The 21,065-nt window shown below is 37.4% G+C and overlaps 1 non-coding gene across 1 annotated transcript; it reads left to right on the top strand.

Annotated features, from left to right (window-relative positions):
• Window positions 1-14,787: 14,787 nt before the first annotated feature.
• LOC124901198 (small nucleolar RNA U13) lies at window positions 14,788-14,891 on the top strand. Its single transcript, XR_007059162.1, has one exon. It is a non-coding gene; the product is annotated as a small nucleolar RNA U13 (small nucleolar RNA).
• Window positions 14,892-21,065: the final 6,174 nt, after the last annotated feature.

The raw sequence follows: 21,065 nt of genomic DNA, 5'->3' as shown, positions 1-21,065 counted from the left end.
CTGGGGGTGGTAGCACATGGCTCTGGTCCTAGGTACTCGGGAGGCTAAGCACATGAAATGATATTCAATATCATTATCCATTAGGAAAAGGCAAAGTAAAACCACAGTGTATCACTACACAACTATTGGAATGACTACAATAAAAAAGTGACAACATCAAATATTGATGAGGATGTTGGATCATTCATACATTGCTGCTAGAAATGTAAAATGTTATAGCCAAAAGTATGGCAGCTGAAACATATAACTACCTTATTACCCAGCAATTACATTATTGGGCATTTATCCCAAAGAAATGAAAAACCTGCATACAAAAACCTACATAACAGCTTGTTCATAATAGCCAAAAACTAGAAACAACTCAGATGCCCTTCAAGGGGTGAATTATTAAACAAACTGTGGTACTTTCTTACTTTGAATACTACTTAGCAATAAAATGGATCAAACTTGGATGAATCTTCAGAGAATTACGCAGAGAGGGGGGAAAAAAGTCAATGCCAAAATGTTATATACCGTGTAATTCCACTTATAAAACATTCCTGGAATAAGGAAAGTATAAAAATGAAAAATCAATTAATGGTTGCCAGTGGTGAAAAAGGGGGTGAGAGTGAGAGAAAAGCAAATGTGGCTATAAAAGAGCAACATGCAATATGGCTATAAAAGAGCATCCCACTGCCACTCACACCATGGGGTGTGGCTCCTCTTCCTTTGGAAAGGGGAGAGAAGAGTGGGAAAGACTGCATCTTGTGGTTTGAGTGCCAGCTCAGCTGCACAACAATAGGACACCAGGTAAACTTCTAAGGTTTTTGACTCTAGTCCCTGACTTCTGGACAGCACCTCTGAAAATGCGTAGGGCCTCAGGGAACTCGCCACCCTGAAGGGAAGGACACAAGGCTCTCTGGCTTTACCACCTGCTGACAGTAGAGTCCCAGGGCCTTAAGTGAACATAAGTGGTAGCCAGGGAGTGGTTACAGTAGGCCTTCGGTGAGACCCAGTGCTGTGCTGCCTTCAGGTCTGACCCAGTACAATCATAGTGGTGGTGGCCTCGTGGGAGTTTGTGTCACTTCATCCCCAGCTCTAGGTGGCTAAGAATAGACAGACTGTGTTTGTTTGGGAGAAAGTAAGGGAAGAGAACAAAAGTATCTGCCTGATAATACAGAGAATTTTTCCAGATCTTGTCCAAGACCATCAAGGTGGTACCTCTAGGAGTCTGCAAGGACCACAGCGTTACTGGGCTTGGGGTGCCCCCTAAAGCAGATACAGCTTAGATCACAACACCAAAGTCCTTTCAAAAAAAGTATTCTCAAGAAGGACAAGTACTAAGTCCAGACTGAGAAGACAACAGTAAATACTTATCTCTTCAATGCCCACACAGACGAACATCTACAAGTATTAAGACCATCCGAGAAAACATAACCTCATCAAATGAACTAAATAAGGCACCAGGAATCAATCCTGGAGAAACAGAAATATGTGATCTTTCAGAAAAGGAATTCAAAGTAACTGTTTTGAGGAAATTCAAATAAATTCAAGACAGCATGCAGAAGGAACTCAGAATTCTATACGTCAAATTTAACAAAGAGATTGAAATAATTAAAAATAATTAAGCAGAAATTGAAGACAAGAAAAACACAACTGGCATACTGAAGAATACACCAGAGTCCTTTAATAGAAGAATTGAACAAGAAGAAGAAAAAATTCATTGAGCTTAAAGACAGGCTATTTGAAAATATACAGTCAGAGGAGACAAAAGAAAAAAGATTTTAAAAAAACAATGAAGCACACTTGCAGGATCTAGAAAATAGTCTCAAAAGGGCAAAACTAAGAGTTGTTGGCCTTAAAGAGGAGGTAGAGAATGAGATACGAGTTAAAAGTTTATTCAAATGAATAATAACAGAAAGCTTTCCAAACCTAGAGAAAGATATCAATATCCAAGTATAAGAAGGTTATAGAACACCAAGCAGATTTAACCCAAAGAAGACAAGCTCAAGGCATTTAATCATCAAACACCCAAAGGTCAAGAATAAAAAAAGGATCTTAAAAGCAGCAAGCAAAAAAGAAAAAAACAAATAACATACAATGGAGGTCCAATACATCTGGCACCAGACTTTTCAGTGGAAACCTTACAAACCAGGAGAGAGTGAGTGGCATGACATATTTAAAGTGCTGAAGGAGAAAAGTTTACCCTAGAATAATATATCCATGAAAATATCCTTCAAACATGAAGGAAAAATAAAGACTTTTTCAGACAAACAAAAGTTGAGGGATTTAATCAACACCACACCTGTTCTACAAGAAATGCTAAAGGGAGTGCTTCAGTCAGAAAGAAAGGATGTTAATGAGCAATAAGAAATCATCTGAAGGTAAAAAAAATAAAACTTACTGGTAATAGTAAGTACACAGAATATTAAAAAACTGTGGCTGCAGAGTATAAACTATCTTAAGTAGAAAGACTAAATGATGGACAAATCAAACATAATTACTACAACAACTTTTCAAGACATAGAAAGTACAATAAGATATAAATAGAAATAACAAAAAGTTAAAAATCAGGAGACAAAATTAAGGCATAACATCTTTATTAACTTTCCTTTGGCTTGCTTGTTTATGCAAACAGTTGTTATCAACTTAAAATAATGGGTTATAAGATACTATTTGCAAGCCACATGGTAAACTCAAACCAAAAAGCATACAATGAATACAGAAAAAATGAAAAGCAAGAAACTAAATCATATCACCAAAGAAAAGTACCTTCACTAAAAGGAAAACAGAAAGAGAAGAAAGAAGGGAGAGAAGACCAGAAAACAAATAAAAAAAATTGTAGGAGTAAGTCCTTACTTATCAATATTAGCAATGAATATAAATGGACTAAATCAGTCTATCAAAAGACATGGAATGGCTGTGTGGATTTTAAAAAAAACAGGACCTAGTGATCTGTTGCATACAGGAAATACAATTCACCTATGAAGACACACATAGAAATAAAAGAAAGGGGAGAAATAAGGTAATCCATGCCAATAGAAACTGAAAAGGAGCAGGAGTAGCTATACTTACATCAGACAAAATAGATTTTAAGACAAAAACTATGCAAGGAGACGAAAAAGGCCACCATACAATAATAAAGGGGTCAATTCAGCAAGATTTAACAATATTAAATATATATGCACCCAACACTGGAGCACATAGATAGATATATAAAGGAAATATTAGTAGAGCTGAAGAGAGAGATAGACATCAATATAATAATAGCTGATGGCTTCAACACCCCACATTCAGCATTGGAAAGATCTTGCAGATGAATAAACAAAGAAACATCAAACTTAGTCTGCACTATAGACCAAATTGACCTAATAGATATTCACAGAACATTTCATCCAGTAGCTACAGAATACAAATTTTTTTCCTCAGCACATGGATTATTCCCAAGGACAGATCATATGTTAAGTCACCAAGGACGTCTAAAAACATTCAAAAAGATGAAATCATATCAAGCATCTTCTCTGATCACAATGAAATAAAACCAGAAATCAATAACAAGAGGAATTTTGGAAGCTATACAAATACATGGAAATTAAATATATGCTCCTGAATGACCAGTGGGTCAATGAAGAAATTAAGAAGGAAATTGAAAAAATTTTTGAAGCAAATGATAATGGAAACACAACATACCAAAACCTATGAGGCACAGCAAAAGCAGCTCTAAGAGAGAAGTTTATACCTACAAGTGCCTACAACATCAAAAAGGAAGAAAAACTTCAAACAAGCTAACAATGCACATTAAAGAACTAGAAAAGCAAGAGCATGCCAAATGCAAAATTAACCAAATAAACAACAAAAATCAGAGTAGAAATAAGTGAAAGTGAATGAAAACAATACAAAATATCAATGAAACAAAAAGTTGGGTTTTTGAAAAGTTAAACAAAATTGACAAACCTTTGGCCAGAGTAAGAAAATAAGAGAAAAGATCCAAATAAATCAGAGATGAAAAAGGAGACATTACAACTTACAGTGCAGAAAGTCAGACGATCATTAGTGGCTAGTATGAACAACTATATGCCAATAAACTGGAAAACCTAGAAGAAATAGACAAATTCCGAGATACATACAACCTACAAGATTGAACCATGAAGAAATCCAAAACCTGAACAGACCAATAACAAGAAACAAGATGAAACCATAATAAAATTTCTCCCAGTAAAGAAAAGCCCAGAACTCAATGACTTTACTGCTGAATTCTACCAAACATTTAAAGAAAAACTAATATCAATCCTACTTAAACTATTCCAAAAAATAGAGAAGGGACTACCTCCAAACTCATTCTATGAGGCCAGTGTTACCCCGTTACCAAAACCAACAAAGACACATCAAAAAAGAAAACTGCAGGCCAATATCTCTGATGAATATTGATGCAAAAATCCTCAACAAAATACTAGCAAACCAAATTCGATATGTTAAAAAGATCATTCACCATGACCAAGTGGGATTTATCCCAGGGATGCAAGCATGGTTCAACATATGCAAATAAATCAGTGTGATACATCATAGCAACAGAATGAAGGACAAAAACTATATGATCCTTTTAATTGACATCAGAAAACCATCTGATAAAATTCAAAATCCCTTCATGATAAAACCCCTAGAAAAACTAGGTATAGAAGGAACATACCTCAACATAATAAAAGCCATATGCAACAGACCCACAGGTAATATCATACTGAATGGGGAAAAACTGAAAGCCTTTCCTCTAAGATTTGGAATATAAGGATGCCCACTTTCAACATTGTTATTCAACATAGTACAGGAAGTACTAGCTAGAGAAATGAGACAAGACAAAAAATAATGGGCATCCAAATCAGAGAGGAAGAAGTCAAATTATCCTATTTGCAGATGATATGCTCTTATATTTGGAAAAACCTAAAAACTCTACTGAAAAACTATTACAACTGATAAACAAATTCAGTAAAGTTGCAGGATACAAAATCAACATACAAAAATCAGCAGCATTTTTATATACCAATATTGAACAATCTGAAAAAAAATTTAAGTAATCTCATTTACAACAGCCACAAATGAAATTAAATACCTAGGAATTAACCAAAGAAGTGAAATATCTCTATAATGAAAACTATAAAACATTGATTAAAGAATTTGAAGAGGATACAAAAAAATGGAAAGTTATTCCATGTTAACGGATTGTAAAATCAGTATTATTAAAATGTCAATACTACCCAAAGCAATCTATTGATTCAGTGCTATTCCTATATAAATAGTAATGACATTCTTCACAGAAATAGAAAAAACAATCTTAAAATTTATATGAAACCATAAAAGACACAGAATAGCCAAAGCTTCCCTGAGCAAAAAGAACAAAACTAGAGGAATCACATTACCTGATTTCAAATTATACTATTGAGATACAGTAACCAAAACAGCATGGTACTAGCATAAAACAGACACATTGACCAATGGAACAGAATAAAGAACCCAAAAACAAATCTACACAACCACAGTGAACTCATTTTTGACAACAGTGCTAAAAACATACACTGGGGAAAAGACAATCTCCTCAGTAAGTCGTGCTGGGGAAACTGGATATCCAAATTCCGAAGAATGAAACTAGACTCCTATCTCTCACCATATACAAAAATCAAATTGAAATTGATTAAAGACTTAAATCTAAGACCTCAAACTATAAAACTACTAGAAGAAAACATAGGGGAAACTCTCGAGGCCGTTGGTCTGGACAAAAATTTCTTGAGGCAAACACAGTCAGTCAAAGCAAAAATGGACAAATGGGATTACATCAAGTTAAAAAGCTTCTGTACAGCAAAGGAAACAGTCAACAAAGTAAAGAGACAACCACAGAATGTGAGAAAATATTTGCAAACTACCGATCTGACAAGGGATTAATAATCAGAATATATAGGGAGCTCAAAAACTCTAAGGGAAAAATCTAATAATCTGATTTTACCATGGGCCAAATATTTGAATAGACATTTATGAAAAGAAAACATACAAATGACAAACAGGCATAGGAAAAGGTGGTCAACATCACATCATTGATCATCAGAGAAATACAAATCAGAACTATAATGAGATATTATCTCTCCCTAGTTAAAATGGCTTAAATCCAAAAGACAGGCAATAAAAAATGCTAGTGAGGATGTAAAGCAAAGGGGACCTTTGTACACTGTTGGTAGGAAGGTAAATTAGTACAACCACTATGGAGAATGGTTTGATCGTTCCTCAAAAAATTAAAAATAGAGCTACCATATGACCCAGCAGTCCCATTACTGAGTATATACCCAAAAGAAAGGAAATCAGTATATTGAAGAGATAGCTGCACTCCTATGTTTGTTGCAGCACTGCTCACAATAGCCATAATTTGGAGGCAATCTAAGTGTCCATCAACAGATGAATAGATAAAGAAAATGTGGCACATATACACAATGGAGTACTATTCAGCCATAAAAAAAGAATGATCCTGTTATTTGCAACAACATGATGGAACTGGAGGTCATTATGCTAATTGGAATAAGCCAGGCAGGGAAAGACAAATATCGCATATTCTCACTTATTTGGGGGATTTTAAAATCAAAACAATTGAATTCACAGAGATAGAGAGTAGGAGGATAATTACCAGAGGCTGGGAGGGGTCGCGGGAGGTTGAGGGGATGGTGGAGATAGTTAATGTGTACAAAAAAAAAAATAGCTAGGAAGAACAAATAAGACCTAGTACTTGATAGCACAGCAGGTTGACTATAGTCAATAATAATTTATTTGCACATTTTAAAATAACTAATAGAATGTAATTGGATTGTTTGTAACACAGGGATAATGCTTGAGGGGATGGATATTTCATTTTCCACGATGTGATTATTCCACATTGTATGCCTATAGCAAAACATCTCATGTACTCCATAAATATGTATACCTACTATATACTCACAAAAATTAAAAAAAAATTTTTTTTAAAAGATTGAGGTTGGTCACTATGGGATTCAGGTAAAGAATTATCTTGCTTCTCCTACAAAATACATTTTTCTTAACACCTGTGCAAGTCTCCATGGAAGGCACAGTAGATAAAATTTCTTGCTATTCACAGGAGAGCAAATAAGTTAACACTGGAGAAAGCATTTTATAAACTATACCTGCTGCAAAAATGTAAGGTGCGAGAGTTACCCTCAGGAATTGCAAATCTAAATACCTTTAAACTAGAATGAACTTTGAAATTCTCTAACCACCATTTATTCTTCAATTTCTATAGCAACCTCCATCAAGAGGTTGCCCAGTCCACATTTCAATATTCCCACTGATAGGAAGCTTGCTTCCCCTAAAAGTAGTTTTAACATCTATCTATAGAAAGGTCTGTAAAATTTTAATTTAAGAAAAAAGATCTTCTTAAGTATGAAACTTTCCCTCATTCATCACCATTACACTCTTTAGAGACTATGTCAATCAAGAATAAGCTTGCTTATTCTATTGTTAACAAATAACCCATAAAAATCTCAGTGGCTTAAAACAACCAAGGTTTCCTGCTCCTAGTGCATGCTCTCTGTGGGTCAGCTGGGAGCTTGCTCCTCATTGTCCTCACTCTTGCACCCAGGCTTATAAAACCACCACTTTCTGGAAAATTTCCAGGCATTACAGAAGGAAAGAGAATTCTGGAAAGTCTCACTTGGGCATTAAATGTTCTGACCTAGAAGTCATACAGATCACTTCCACTCAAAATCATTGACCAGGAAATACAATCTTATCATGTGCCACCCCATATTCTAGAGTCCTGAGTCAAAAATACTTGTGACCAGGCACAGAAGCTCATGCCTAAAATCCCAGCACTTTGGAGGCAGAGGTGGGAAAGTCACTTGAAACCAGGAGTTCAAGATCAGCCTGGGCAACATAGCAAGCCCCTGTCTCTACAAAAAATAAAATAAAAAATTAGCCAGATGTGGTGGTGCACACCTGTAGAATCCATTACTTGAAAGGAAGCAGGAGGATCACTTGAGCCCAGGAGTTCAAGGCTGCAGTGAGCTAAACTATGATTGCACCACTGCACGGAAGCCTGGGCAACAGAGCAAGACCCTGTCTCTATTTTTTTAAATGCTTGTGAACAGTACTGCTGAATAGCACAGACACCAGATAAAAAAATCCTAATTCCTTATCATTAAATACAAAACTTGACAAACCCATCAAGCTACATTTTCACAAAACTAGGGCTGGAACTCAGATCTCTGAGATCACAATTTGGAACTTTTTCCATCATGCTGTGTTAGGATGTTTACATGAGGACAATGTAGCTGGGATTATATGGCATTTACTTAGTTTTTTGTTTTGTTTTTCTTATTCATAAATAGGAGGAAGATTGGAAGTTCCTAAAGCACATGCCTTAAACTGAGAAGCAACTGCAAAATAATTTTACTCCATTTTGAAATGTTTGACCTAGTAAAGATTGGATTTCTGAGAGGCTTTTATATTCTGAATATAGGGAATACAAAGGAAACAATCTTTCTAAGACTTCAAGAAACAACGGAAAAACTCTTGACTCTCACTTTGCTATTTCGATTATTTTTTTGACACATTGGGTCTTTGAGTAATTGTGGCAGCAGCAGCCACAGAGTTTTACCCAAGATAAAAGTATATATAATAGCATGGCAGCCTCTGCAGAACCACACAATATGGTAAATGCCTTAGCTCAATCCTATTTGCTCATAGTTCTGTGCAAAATAACAAATGGTTCTGAAACAATTATTCCAAATATGTTTTGCTCTTATTACTTTAAAGACTTGGCTGCCAAATATTTGCTCCAAGATAAAAAAGGAACACATATATGGGACGAAGATTATGCATTAAGATATGCTGCTTATTTTGCTTCTGTAGATACAATGCACATCTTATGAATTAGAGGTAGTCTTCCACCGTTCCCCAAATGGTGGACAAATGAGCATATCATTCCATCACTTTAATCCATCCTGGCTGGAGACACTTTTTTAAAGAATATTACTTTCCTGCTCAAATCTTAAATGCCTTCCTAATATGAGGAGAATAAAGTCTAAAATATTCAACCAAACATTCAAAGCCCTGCAGGGGTGGAATCCTTACTGAATTTTCTAGCCTACAGCACAACACTCCCCTTTAGCTTCTATTCAAGTAAGCCAAGCTTCCCTCTTGAAATAGAGTGCAGGTCCTTGCTCAAGTTATTTCTTTCAATAGCACAAATGTTCAAAGTACAATTTGTTTTAAAGTTCCACTTTCTATAAGAAGCCTTTTCAGATATCCCATTGGGAATGGACTACACATTTCTGGTTTTTTGGTTTGTTTTGGTTTTTGTTTTGTTTTGATTTGTTATGTTTTGTTTGAGACAGAGTCTTACTCTGTTGCCCAGGCTAGAGTGCAGTGGCGCAATCTCAGCTCACTGCAACCTCCACCTCCCGGGTTCAAGCAATTCTCCTGCCTCAGCCTCCCAAGTAGCTGGGATTACAGGCACCAGCCACCACACCCAGCTAATTTTTGTATTTTTAGTAGAGACACGGTTTCACCATGTTGGCCAGGCTGGTCTTGAACTCCTGACCACAGGCCTGCCTTGGCCTCCCAAAGTGCTGTGATTACAGGCATAAGCCCCCACGCCCAGCCTGGACTACACATATCTATAGCATGTTAGTTGTTCTTCTATGATAGCCCTTTTCATATTCTGCCTTCAGGTCAGTCTATTAATGAACGTATCTGATTTCCCCACAACGCAGGATATAAATCCTTGGAAAGTAGAGGCTATAATTTCTCATCTCTGGATTCTCCACAGCTCCTTGAACTTAGTTTAAGCTCCCCTACTCGCCACCTGCCCCTCAAAATAAAAACGAAAGCCTAAATAAATTGCTAAAGTACTGGATCTTGTTTCTCCCTGGCCCAAACAATGTCCCAACTGGTTTCTCTTTTACTTTTCTTCACACAAGCACAGAAGTGTAATCTCTGCATTTATCTGTAAAAGGAGGGATTTGTCAGGCCTGTCACCATACCCACGTATCTGAAGCAAAGTGAGAATGCTGCTTGTCTTGCGTAATAAACCCAACTCCCTTTATCTTTACCAAAAACTATTTTTTCCACTGCCTAAAATTTAACCATGGAGAGTCAGCACTTTGAATATTTAACTTTCAAAGTTTCTTATTAAAATACAAGTACTTTTGTGAGAAGTGATACCTTAATTTAAACCATTATCAACCAATGTTTTAGCAATTATTAGAGGAAAACAAGTCAGGAATTAAGCCATTTCTTAATGGAATAAAAGGTATGGAAACAGGGAAGAGAGGGAATAGTATCTGGTTAGCAGGTAGATGACGGTGGTGGTGAGAAAACAACAAAAATATTCAACTTCTGCGTAAATTTGCAACAGACTAGATCTTCCTGAGATGGTGTGCCTGTATGAAGCAATGTATTAAGAACATAAGGAACATATTTTATATATATACCCATAGCCAAATTAATAATGTTAACAGACATTATTACTGTTCAGTAGAACAGAGATTCACAGAAGTTCAAATAACTACACAGCAATCAAAATTTAATTATAGAAGAGCCCAGAGATTTGGATAAAACGCACAATTGTAAAGGAAACCTTCCCATCAGACACTTTGTTGCTGTGTATAAATGAGAAGCAAGAGAAGCAACCCTTACAAAGCAGGCTCAGATGATTGCTGGTGCCTAGGAAAACTCCTGGCCCAAAAGGATTACTCTGAAGTGAGCCACATCTTCCACTGAACCTGTTTTGTAGAGTTTGAAAATCTCCATGGACCTGAACCCTTGACATCAATCCATGAAAGTAAATGGGATTAACAGGCTCTGGCCAAGGTTTCAGTGTCCCTTCCAAGAGATGGGCAGTGTATCCACAGTGATAGGGGGAATATGAATTGCTGGCAAATCCCATGCTTACAATGCCTCTTGGTCTATAAATCATGCCTTCCTGCTGTTTATAGTTCTATAAATGATTAGAGAGAAACTTGTTCCTAGATGCAATAACTGAGGTCACTGAAGATTACATGCTGCATGAGCTCACAATATCTGCCCTGAGAAAAACAATAAAGTGGTCAACCTCCTACTCCTTTTGCTGGAATACTTACTGTTTGTCACTAAAGGAGTTTAGCTGTAACCTATGAGCAAAAACCTTCTGTCATTCACATTCAGTTCTTTAGTGGGTAGAAAGGGGTCAGAGAAGCTTAAGAGTATCTGAACAGTTGAAGATTCCAACCTGACACAGAGCTGGGAGCAGTGCATCTACCATGTGGGTAATTTTTAAGACTGCTTGGATGTGTGGAACCTTTTTATTGGTTCTCTGTCTTTCAGGTGTCCCAAAATTTCTATCTCATTCCAATTTTGGAAATGACTCAAGTTCTGTCTTCCTCCAGAGAAAGGAAGCAGCCACAAGTTTTATAAACCTAAAATTAGAGTAGCCAAGTTAGACTGTCATACCATTGAAGCCTGACAATATTTAATACCTGATAACATCATTGTCAAATAACATTTCTAAGAACCCAATTGCATGACATATTGAAGTTCTAAGTTGAAGATCACAAATTACATTGTTGTAGTCTCTGGGCCTCCTAGTTCCCACAGTCTAAAGCAGGTGTGTGCAGTGTATAGAAAAGTCAAAATAAAAAATGGCAGACCAGAATTAGAATGGACAAAGCAACTGCTCTATCACTGTGGATTCTTTCCATCTCCTGCCATCCATCATTCTTCCCCCAAAAGTATATCACAACCCTGGTGACCAGTCCCACCTCATTGAGGTGGAGGCAAAGCCTGGAAAGATAATCCAGCAGTTGCTGAGATGCTCAGGATTGGGAAGGACTCTGGTGTTTGTGAAATCCAGTCCCCATGCTACCCTTGAATTTCCTCTACAATGGCTCCACCAAGTAGTTACCTGGCAAATATTCACACACTTTCAGGGGCTGGTAATTCACCACTTTCTAAAGAAAACTATATCTCTGGGCAAGTATGATAGAAAACTTTTCTTTGTAAGGCCAAATCTACTTCCCAGAGTCTGTTGTTTCTAGTTGCTTCCTTTGGGGCCACAGAGAACAAGTCTACATTCCTCTTCCATAAGTCAGCCCTCCTAATATCTCAAGACTATTATCTCAGCCCTTTAAGTCTTTTCATAAGCTACACAGTCCTATCCTCCAAGCATTCAGATTTTATTAGCCTGTTGCCATCCAAGTTTCCCCTAAATGTGTCCTAGTTGCTTTATATTTGTCTTAATGTACATTTCCCACAACTGCCCACGACATTCCAACTAAGCCCTGACCAAAACAAAGTAAGAGTTGTATTCTTACTTTCTCCATCGTAAATACTTCATCTAAGACTAGTTCTTTGGTATACACATCACATTAACTCTTGCTTACCTGATCTAGGCATTTTGAAGTAGCCAAGTCAAAATTCAAAACCATTATTTATTCCCAAGTAATCTAGCCAAATGATAACTAGGACTCTTCTATCCCCAACCTGAAGACCATCCATAAGCCTTAGCCCAGAAACATAAAGGCACAATAAATGGGTGAAAGGTTTTGTTGTGTACTTTCCTTTTATTTTTTATAAGTAGAAAAATCTTTTAAAAATCAGCAAAATAAAACATTCATTTATTCAGCATTTATTGAGGACCCACTATGTACAGCTCTCAAAATTACTGGGGCCACAAAGATAAATATTTGCAATCAGTGCTGTAGAAACTCTTACCACCTGGTTTCATGGTTATTTCTTTATCCTATTCTTGAGTAGGTGATAGAGTATACTCTTGTGTTTAATGTAATTGTTCCATGCACTGAACAGATTCTAATGTTTTATGCCAGCCTAATCTTAATGCAACATTGACAACAATAATAATACCTAATATTTGTTAAATGTTTATTACATATTTGCTTTGATTTCTAGATTTGATTTGCTCAAGAGTCTTCCAAATCTCCTCAGGTCAAAAATAATTGTCTCAAAATGTCATGCAACTTGGTGAGCTACCTACATAAACCTTTAACTCCTGTGAAGGCATGCCTAATAAGTTAAACCATTAATTGCCAGATAATATTCTGTTTGGTTGATAGCAAAATGTAGGAGAAAGAGCACAAGTCTGGCATTAGAACCACCTGGGTTTGAATTTCAGCTGCACTAATAAACAAGCCATCAGCCCAGCACAAGTTTCCCTCCTCCCTGGAAATGCGGATAATACCCTTTACCTTGCCATGTTCCTGTATAAAGCGCTTGACACAATACTTGTAAATAGGCAGTAAATGGCATGCTTCCCTCACAGCACAGATTATTACAGCTTACATCTCATTTCCCTTAAAAAGATTACTCGCTCATAAAGAAGGGACTGAGACTTGCTTTTCTTCATATCCCTCATATTCCCGACACCTAGCATAAGTAGACACCCACATTCTTCTTGAATATAAATGTGAGCATCTGGCTTCAAGTTCAGTTGTGTATCATCTAGAAATAATCACATTTCTGTTCTGGTCTCTCATTTTCACAAGGGATGTTTGAAGATTTTCAGGGATTATCTAAGATCAACTATTATTTAAAAAAAAAAAAAATGCCCTCCTCAAGTCCCAGACAGTCGTGTTGAAGCTCTAGGTCCAATCTATTTGACAAACAGGTTGGCATTGACATTTATTATATTTTTAATGTTGAGCCAACTTTAAGCTCAACTTCTCTCCTAAATTAATGGTGTTCCAAGACATGGCTAAAGCAAGAGGAACAAGAAGTGGTTGATGGGGAAAGCCAACACCTGATATGTCCCATTTCTGACCTGTACCTCAGCAAGCTAAAGGAAAATGTTGTTGGTCTCCAGTGTCTACCCTGAGCAATAAAATTAAGAGGTTCACTCCCACACTGCCTTAACTAGGCTGAGGTAATTGTTATTGTTATGGCTTTAGCAGGTTGAATGGGAGAAGATGAGAATTCTGAAAGAGACTTATTTACTGCAAAGCATCCCAAATATCTCATTAATCTGCTTTTCATTTGGCAAACTTTTATTTCATTAAAAGTGCCATGCTGTGTGGTTTAAAACAAAGCAAAAATGCCTCTGGGAAGACAAAGCAGCAAAGTGGAAAGAGCTTGGGATCTGAAATGATTTTGATATGAGTTTGATTTCCAGGTGCGCTACTTACTTGCTCTGTGACCACAGGCAGTTTTCCATAGTTAGTTAGAACCCCAATTTCCTCATCTACAAACATAGGACAACTGTTATGTTGTTTGTGAATACTGAGGCCAGCTCTAGGACCTTGGGCTCTCTTTTGTTTATCTGTTTATTTCTTCATTTGCAAAATGAAGATCATAATAGTACCAACTCCATAGAGTTTGTGATGAGGATTTAGACAGGTAATATATGTAAACTGATTAGAACAGTGTCTAGCACAGAATATGTGCAGTGTGTTTGTCATCATCATCATCATCATCATCATCGCCATCACTACTAAGTGACACACGTAAAGTGTGCCTTGCACAATACCTGATACCTAGGAGGTGCTCTATAAATGTAAGAGAAAACATCTCCCCTCACAACTAGAAACTTTCCACTGGGGTCTGAAGAAACTCACTGGGTAGGAAGGCCTATTCCACAATTGTAGACTCTGCATTTTGGAGAAGGTGGGATCATGTAGATGAAGCCTGTTTACAAAAGAAAAGACCAAGGGAGGTAGAGAAGGGAGTTAACCCTGAAGAGGTGGCACAGTTAATAAAAAAGAGAAATTCCAGGCCTCCTGCACCCAGATTACTGCATTGTTCTGCCTTCTAAAAGTGTTATTTGGTTGAGTGATCCTCTTGTAGCTCATGAGCATGATGACTGGGTGTTCAAGCACGTGTGAGAGATGTGCCACCCTTGAACTTTGTTATGACATTGACACATTACCTGTCTGACCTGAAAACAAAATAAAAATAAAAGTAAAAGTATTACTTGGTTGAGAAACACCTTCCAACAAATAATTTGCAAACTGTCAGATGGCATCTGATCCTCTGCGATTTTCGTGAGCTTGAGGTAGCTTGAAGAGATGCCAGGAATATAAAGGGAGAGGGTGGCTCCTCAGCAATTTTCTTAGCAGTTCCAATTCAGAAAGGGGACATTCACCTCTCTCCAGACAGTAAAACAAGAACAGGGCCTCTAGATACTTGCCACCCACAAATGCAAATTCAGCAAGCTCTGCCTCCCTGGGTTAATTTTAAACACTGCTTTTTAATCCAAGTTTAGATTTGTTTTGTTGTATATGTACAACATCACTGAGTTTCAGAGTTCTTATTTCTTATCCCTAGGTAATGATATCCTTTTTTAGCTGATTTGATGTCACTCACCACTAGAAGGAAATAGAATGTCCCTCTTCTAATTGGAAATACATAACTGCTTCAGTGGGTTTTCCTTCATTCCTTCCCTTTTGTCAGTGAGATAGACCTGACCTAAGGAGTTTTGGCTTTCAAAGCAGCTTTCACAAACCAAGGATAAAAGAAATTCAATTAACCAAAGAATCAGAAGTCAAGAATACAAGAAAGAGAACAGAAAATAGAAGGGGAAAAAAGTCAGCCCTGGGTTGAGCACAAAATACTGACATTTTTGGACGCCCAAGCTTGAGTCTAGGTTCTATTTAGTGCTGGGATTCTGAGCCGCTCTGGCAAACTAATGGAACAAGTAAAGCTAAAGTCTGTTTTCATGAGGAGCCAAACGGAGGACCAGGTGATGGTCTTAACACAGCATTTAAGCTTTTTTCCAGCTTTGTCCATACCATACCTGCCCTCATGGCCTCAGATCTCAGTACTAAAAAGAGAGAAGGCTGTACATCTAAAAATAAATATATATATATATACTAAAAACCTTGCTTTGAGATCCGCGTGTATCCCCAAAGGGAGAAGAAGGCATTATCCCACTTCCACCCAGCTTACATCAAGAACTCCAAGAAAGAAATCAGAGGCATAGGCAAAAATGGTACCAGGAGAGGGTACTGACTGAGAGCAAAGGCTATCACCCCTCCGAAGGCAGCGCGCCTATCAACATGAGGCCAGAAGCAGGGCGGGGGGGAAATAACATCAGAAATTCACGGGTGGTTGATAGAACTAGCCAGCACAGACACACCACCCCTGGGGACTCCACTGGGGGTGGGTAGAAAGGACATAGAGGTTTGTAATAGCCAGAAGGATCAAAAGCCAAAAAATATGGGTTATTACCATTTATATGACCCCTTTTAAAACTCCAAGTTCATGCAGCCTGAGAAAATGAGCTTATATTCGTAATATCACCTCCTTTCCTTTTCCTACAATTTAAACTGCATACAGTGTTATAATGAGGATCCCTACTGAGCTGTGCTCATACAAACTAACTCTTCTGATGCAGGTGTTCTCTGTCAAAGATATACAATTTTTGATGCTTTGAATTTAATTAGCTGCTGCTCTTTATATATTAAAGTAATTCAAACTATTGTACCACCGGGTTATATGATTTCTGTTACTTTTCTTGTAAGTATGATGGGCTGGTACTGAATTATCCATTTTGTCATTCAGGTTCCCTTGAAACTAATCACATGTGTTTGAAAAAGAATAGGTCAGGGTTAGGGACCATCTATGACCATGAGAGCATTTCTCTATAAAGAAGCAATATAATATGGAGAATTAAGCAGCACTCGTTCAGAGGATAACAAAAAACTCATTGTTATCTAGAGCCTCAGTCTGGGCTTCAGTTTCTTCATTAGTGTAAACACATTTTTTGCAGATAATATGTCCTATGCTTCCCCTAGGAGTTCTTGAGAGTCAGAGGAGATCATCTGAAAGCTTTATTAACCTATAAGGGATCATGAAAAATAAGGAGCTGCTTAGTCCATTGGAGAAATAGAAACTTGTTTTCAGGTGAGTTAAGATACCTGCTTCCCTAACTGTTGGTATTAAAATTTAGTAATTTATAAAATTTAGCACTCCAGCTCACAATTCTCATGTAATTACATGAAATTCAGAGGGAAAGAAAATAAAGACCAATCCCCTCCCATCACAGTTTCTGGGCAATTTTAGCTCATATTAGGCATCTTTAAGCAATGCTGCATTCTAACATCCAATGCTAGGAGTTCTTTTGGAGAACAAAGAAAATATGTACCAATACAAAGCTGCTTTTGCCATTGTTATCTTAAATGCACATGGATGTCTTCTTAAGGAACTTTGCAAATCAATACGCCACCAACTTAGTGAAATCTGGCACCATACGGTAAATGTATGACTAAAGAGAAGCATCTTTCCCATGAAAAAACTAGTGGCTTTTAGTGGCCAGAATAAAAACAAAATTAAATTGGAGTCTGGGGATGGTGATAGCAGGAGAAATAGGTCATCCTTATAAACCCCATTCCTTTCAAAAGTTTGTGTTAATAGAAGCCCAATCTCCAAAATATGAGTTTCTATATTACCTAGGGGTAAATGATGTCAAAGTAATTTGAATATTTTTCAAATAACTTTCCTTAATACTTTATGCAACTGTGAAATCCCACAGGCCTGTAAATCTTAGCAAAGCCACTGTTTCCAGCTCAAAACCCTGCCTTTGGGTCTGCCTTTCTCGCTTCTTTTCTGGATGAGTAACATTTTCAATCAAGTCGTTTTTCTTGTTACTCTGGGAAACAGGCTCTTTCTGAATAAACATAATCCCCCATTTCAGGCTCACTGGTATTACCTTCTTCTCTTTCTCATATCAGCTGGAACATGAGGATTTACATCGTAGCAACTGTGTGGGTAGAGAAGAGATGCTGTAGGGTGGGACAATTCACTTCAGCAATCTTAAGAGTAGGGTCACCTCAGAAAAAAAATGCTTTACTTCTCTGAGTTGGATCCCTCAACTGCCAACTGCGGACAACAGTAACATTAGTAAGAATCAAATAGGACTTCACTCTATATGTTTCTAATAAGAACAGCCCCCACTGCCTGCCTTGTGACCCCACTGTGGTGTATACAGACTTCAATCACAACATTTTAGTCCACTTACTTGTTTATATTTCTGTCTCCCCTCACTCAACTGAAAGCCTTTGGAGAACAAGACCTTTCCCTTATTTATTTTAGGAATCCCCAAATCAAGCTTGTTGATATTCATTATGTAATGGTTTTAAAGGAATTTCGGTTAAAAGATTAATTTGCTAATTGACTAGTTGATTGGTTGAATGAATTCTGCAGATGAACGCACTTTGTAAACATCTGAGCACTAGACAAATGTAAAGCATTATTACATGGAATTCCGTAATTAGCTTTGAACTTAAGGTAATTAGATAGTTGCTCAAAGTCAAAATGTAATGAGCCTTATAAGTGGTCTTATTTCATAGCATTCTTAGTTTTTGTTTGCTTAATCCAGACAGTTGCCAAAAATTTACACACCCCAAAATAATACACTAAAAAAGCAGTTCATGCAATCAAAATAGTGGAAAGTATTTTGCTAGTTAAATTAGCATTGCCTCATAAAAACCCAATGATGGAATGACATATTTTAAATTCTTCCTTGGGTATAAAGTGGTGTCCTGGAGAGACCATTAATGCTAACACCAACACAACACAAAACACTCAGGGGACTGTCCTCAGATGCCCATTTTGTTTCTACAAATTGTCCTCTATATGAGAGTATTTAAATAAACCAATTAGGTTTGGGATTTTTCCCCCTATTTGATTCAATATCACAAATATTAGATGCCAACTTCATGTTGGCTAAGTACAACAGGACAAATAAGGATTTTAGGATGGGACGTAGCTTGCAAGAGGGAGTCTTGACAAGAACACAAATACCATAACCAAGGCAGAATGTAAATGCCATAAGACAAATACATAACTCTCTAGAGCTATGAATCTAGAGACAGAGAAGTAACAGGCCGCTGGGGAAGATCAGAAAAGGCATCATGGCAGAGGAGGTATCTGTAATAAAAGTTAAGCTTTGAGCAATATTGCAAGCCACACAGATAGGGAGGACAGTATGGTAGGGCTAGAGGAGTGGGTATTCCAGAAAGGCGGAAGACCAACTCCTCCAGCTATCTTTAGTCTGCATTTCCAGAAGTATCTACTTCATTGGTTCCTGGAATATCAGCTTGACTTTGCTAATAACTAGTCTGAGAGTACTCACATTTGATGAAAAATAACACTGATGTGATTACTGCCAACATTACTCCCTTTTAACAACAGCAGGAAATATTATTTTTCAAAAATGGAACAACTGCATTTTTATAATATCCCTGAGAAAGAATTAAAAATGTGAAATACATTCTAGGTGATTGTTTTTTATTATACTTTAAGTTTTAGGGTACATGAGCACAACGTGTAGGTTTGTTACATATGTATACATGTGCCGTGTTGGTGTGCTGCACCCATTAACTCGTCATTTAACATTAGGCATATCTCCTAATGCTATCAGCCCCCCTGCCCCCACCCCACAACAGGCCCCGGTGTGTGATGTTCCCCTTCCTGTGTCCATGTGTTCTAATTATTCAATTCCTATCTACGAGTGAGAACATGCGGTGTTTGGTTTTTTGTCCTTGTGATAATTTACTGAGAATGATGGTTTCCAGCTTCATCCATGTCCCTACAAAGGACATGAACTCATCATTTTTTATGGCTGCATAGTATTCCATGGTGTATATGTGCCACATTTTCTTTTTTTTTTTTTTTTTTTTTTTTTTTATTATACTCTAAGTTTTAGGGTACATGTGCACATTGTGCAGGTTAGTTACATATGTATACATGTGCCATGCTGGTGCGCTGCACCCACTAATGTGTCATCTAGCATTAGGTATATCTCCCAATGCTATCCCTCCCCCCTCCCCCGACCCCACCACAGTCCCCAGAGTGTGATATTCCCCTTCCTGTGTCCATGTGATCTCATTGTTCAATTCCCACCTATGAGTGAGAACATGCGGTGTTTGGTTTTTTGTTCTTGCGATAGTTTACTGAGAATGATGGTTTCCAATTTCATCCATGTCCCTACAAAGGATATGAACTCATCATTTTTTATGGCTGCATAGTATTCCATGGTGTATATGTGCCACATTTTCTTAATCCAGTCTATCATTGTTGGACATTTGGGTTGGCTCCAAGTCTTTGCTATTGTGAATAGTTCCACAATAAATATACATGTGCATGTGTCTTTATAGCAGCATGATTTATAATCCTTTGAGTATATACCCAGTAATGGGATGGCTGGGTCAAATGGCATTTCTAGTTCTAGATCCCTGAGGAATAGCCACACTGACTTCCACAATGGTTGAACTAGTTTACAGTCCCACCAACAGTGTAAAAGTGTTCCTATTTCTCCACATCCTCTCCAGCACCTGTTGTTTCCTGACTTTTTAATGATCGCCATTCTAACCGGTGTGAGATGGTATCTCATTGTGGTTTTGATTTGCATTTCTCTGATGGCCAGTGATGAGCATTTTTTCATGTGTCTTTTGGCTGCATAAATGTCTTCTTTTGAGAAGTGTCTGTTCATATCCTTTGCCCACTTTTTGATGGGGTTGTTTGTCTTTTTCCTGTAAATTTGGTTGAGTTCATTGTAGATTCTGGATATTAGCCGTTTATCAGATGAGTAGATTGCAAAAATTTTCTCCCATTTTGTAGGTTGCCTCTTCACTCTGATGGTAGTTTCTTTTGCTGTGCAGAAGCTCTTTAGTTTAATTAGATCCCATTTGTCAATTTTGGCTTTTGTTGCCATGGCTTTTGGTGTTTTAGACATGAAGTCCTTCCCATGCCTATGTCCTGAATGTATTGCCTAGGTTTTCTTCTAGGGTTTTTATGGTTTTAGGTCTAACATTTAAGTCTTTAATCCATCTTGAATTAATTTTTGTATAAGGTGTAAGGAAGGGATCCAGTTTCAGCTTTCTACATATGGCTAGCCAGTTTTCCCAGCACCATTTATTAAATAGGGAATCCTTCCCCATTGCTTGTTTTTGTCAGGTTTGTCAAAGTTCAGATAGTTGTAGATATGTGGCATTATTTCTGAGGGCTCTGTTCTGTTCCATTGGTCTATATCTCTGTTTTGGTACCAGTACCATGCTGTTTTGGTTACTGTAGGCTTGTAGTATAGTTTGAAGTCAGGTAGCGTGATGCCT

This window comes from Homo sapiens, chromosome 5 (assembly GCF_000001405.40).
Source record: "Homo sapiens chromosome 5, GRCh38.p14 Primary Assembly".
NCBI classification, from domain to species: Eukaryota; Metazoa; Chordata; class Mammalia; order Primates; family Hominidae; genus Homo; species Homo sapiens.
This window is presented reverse-complemented; position numbering and strand designations above follow the sequence as displayed.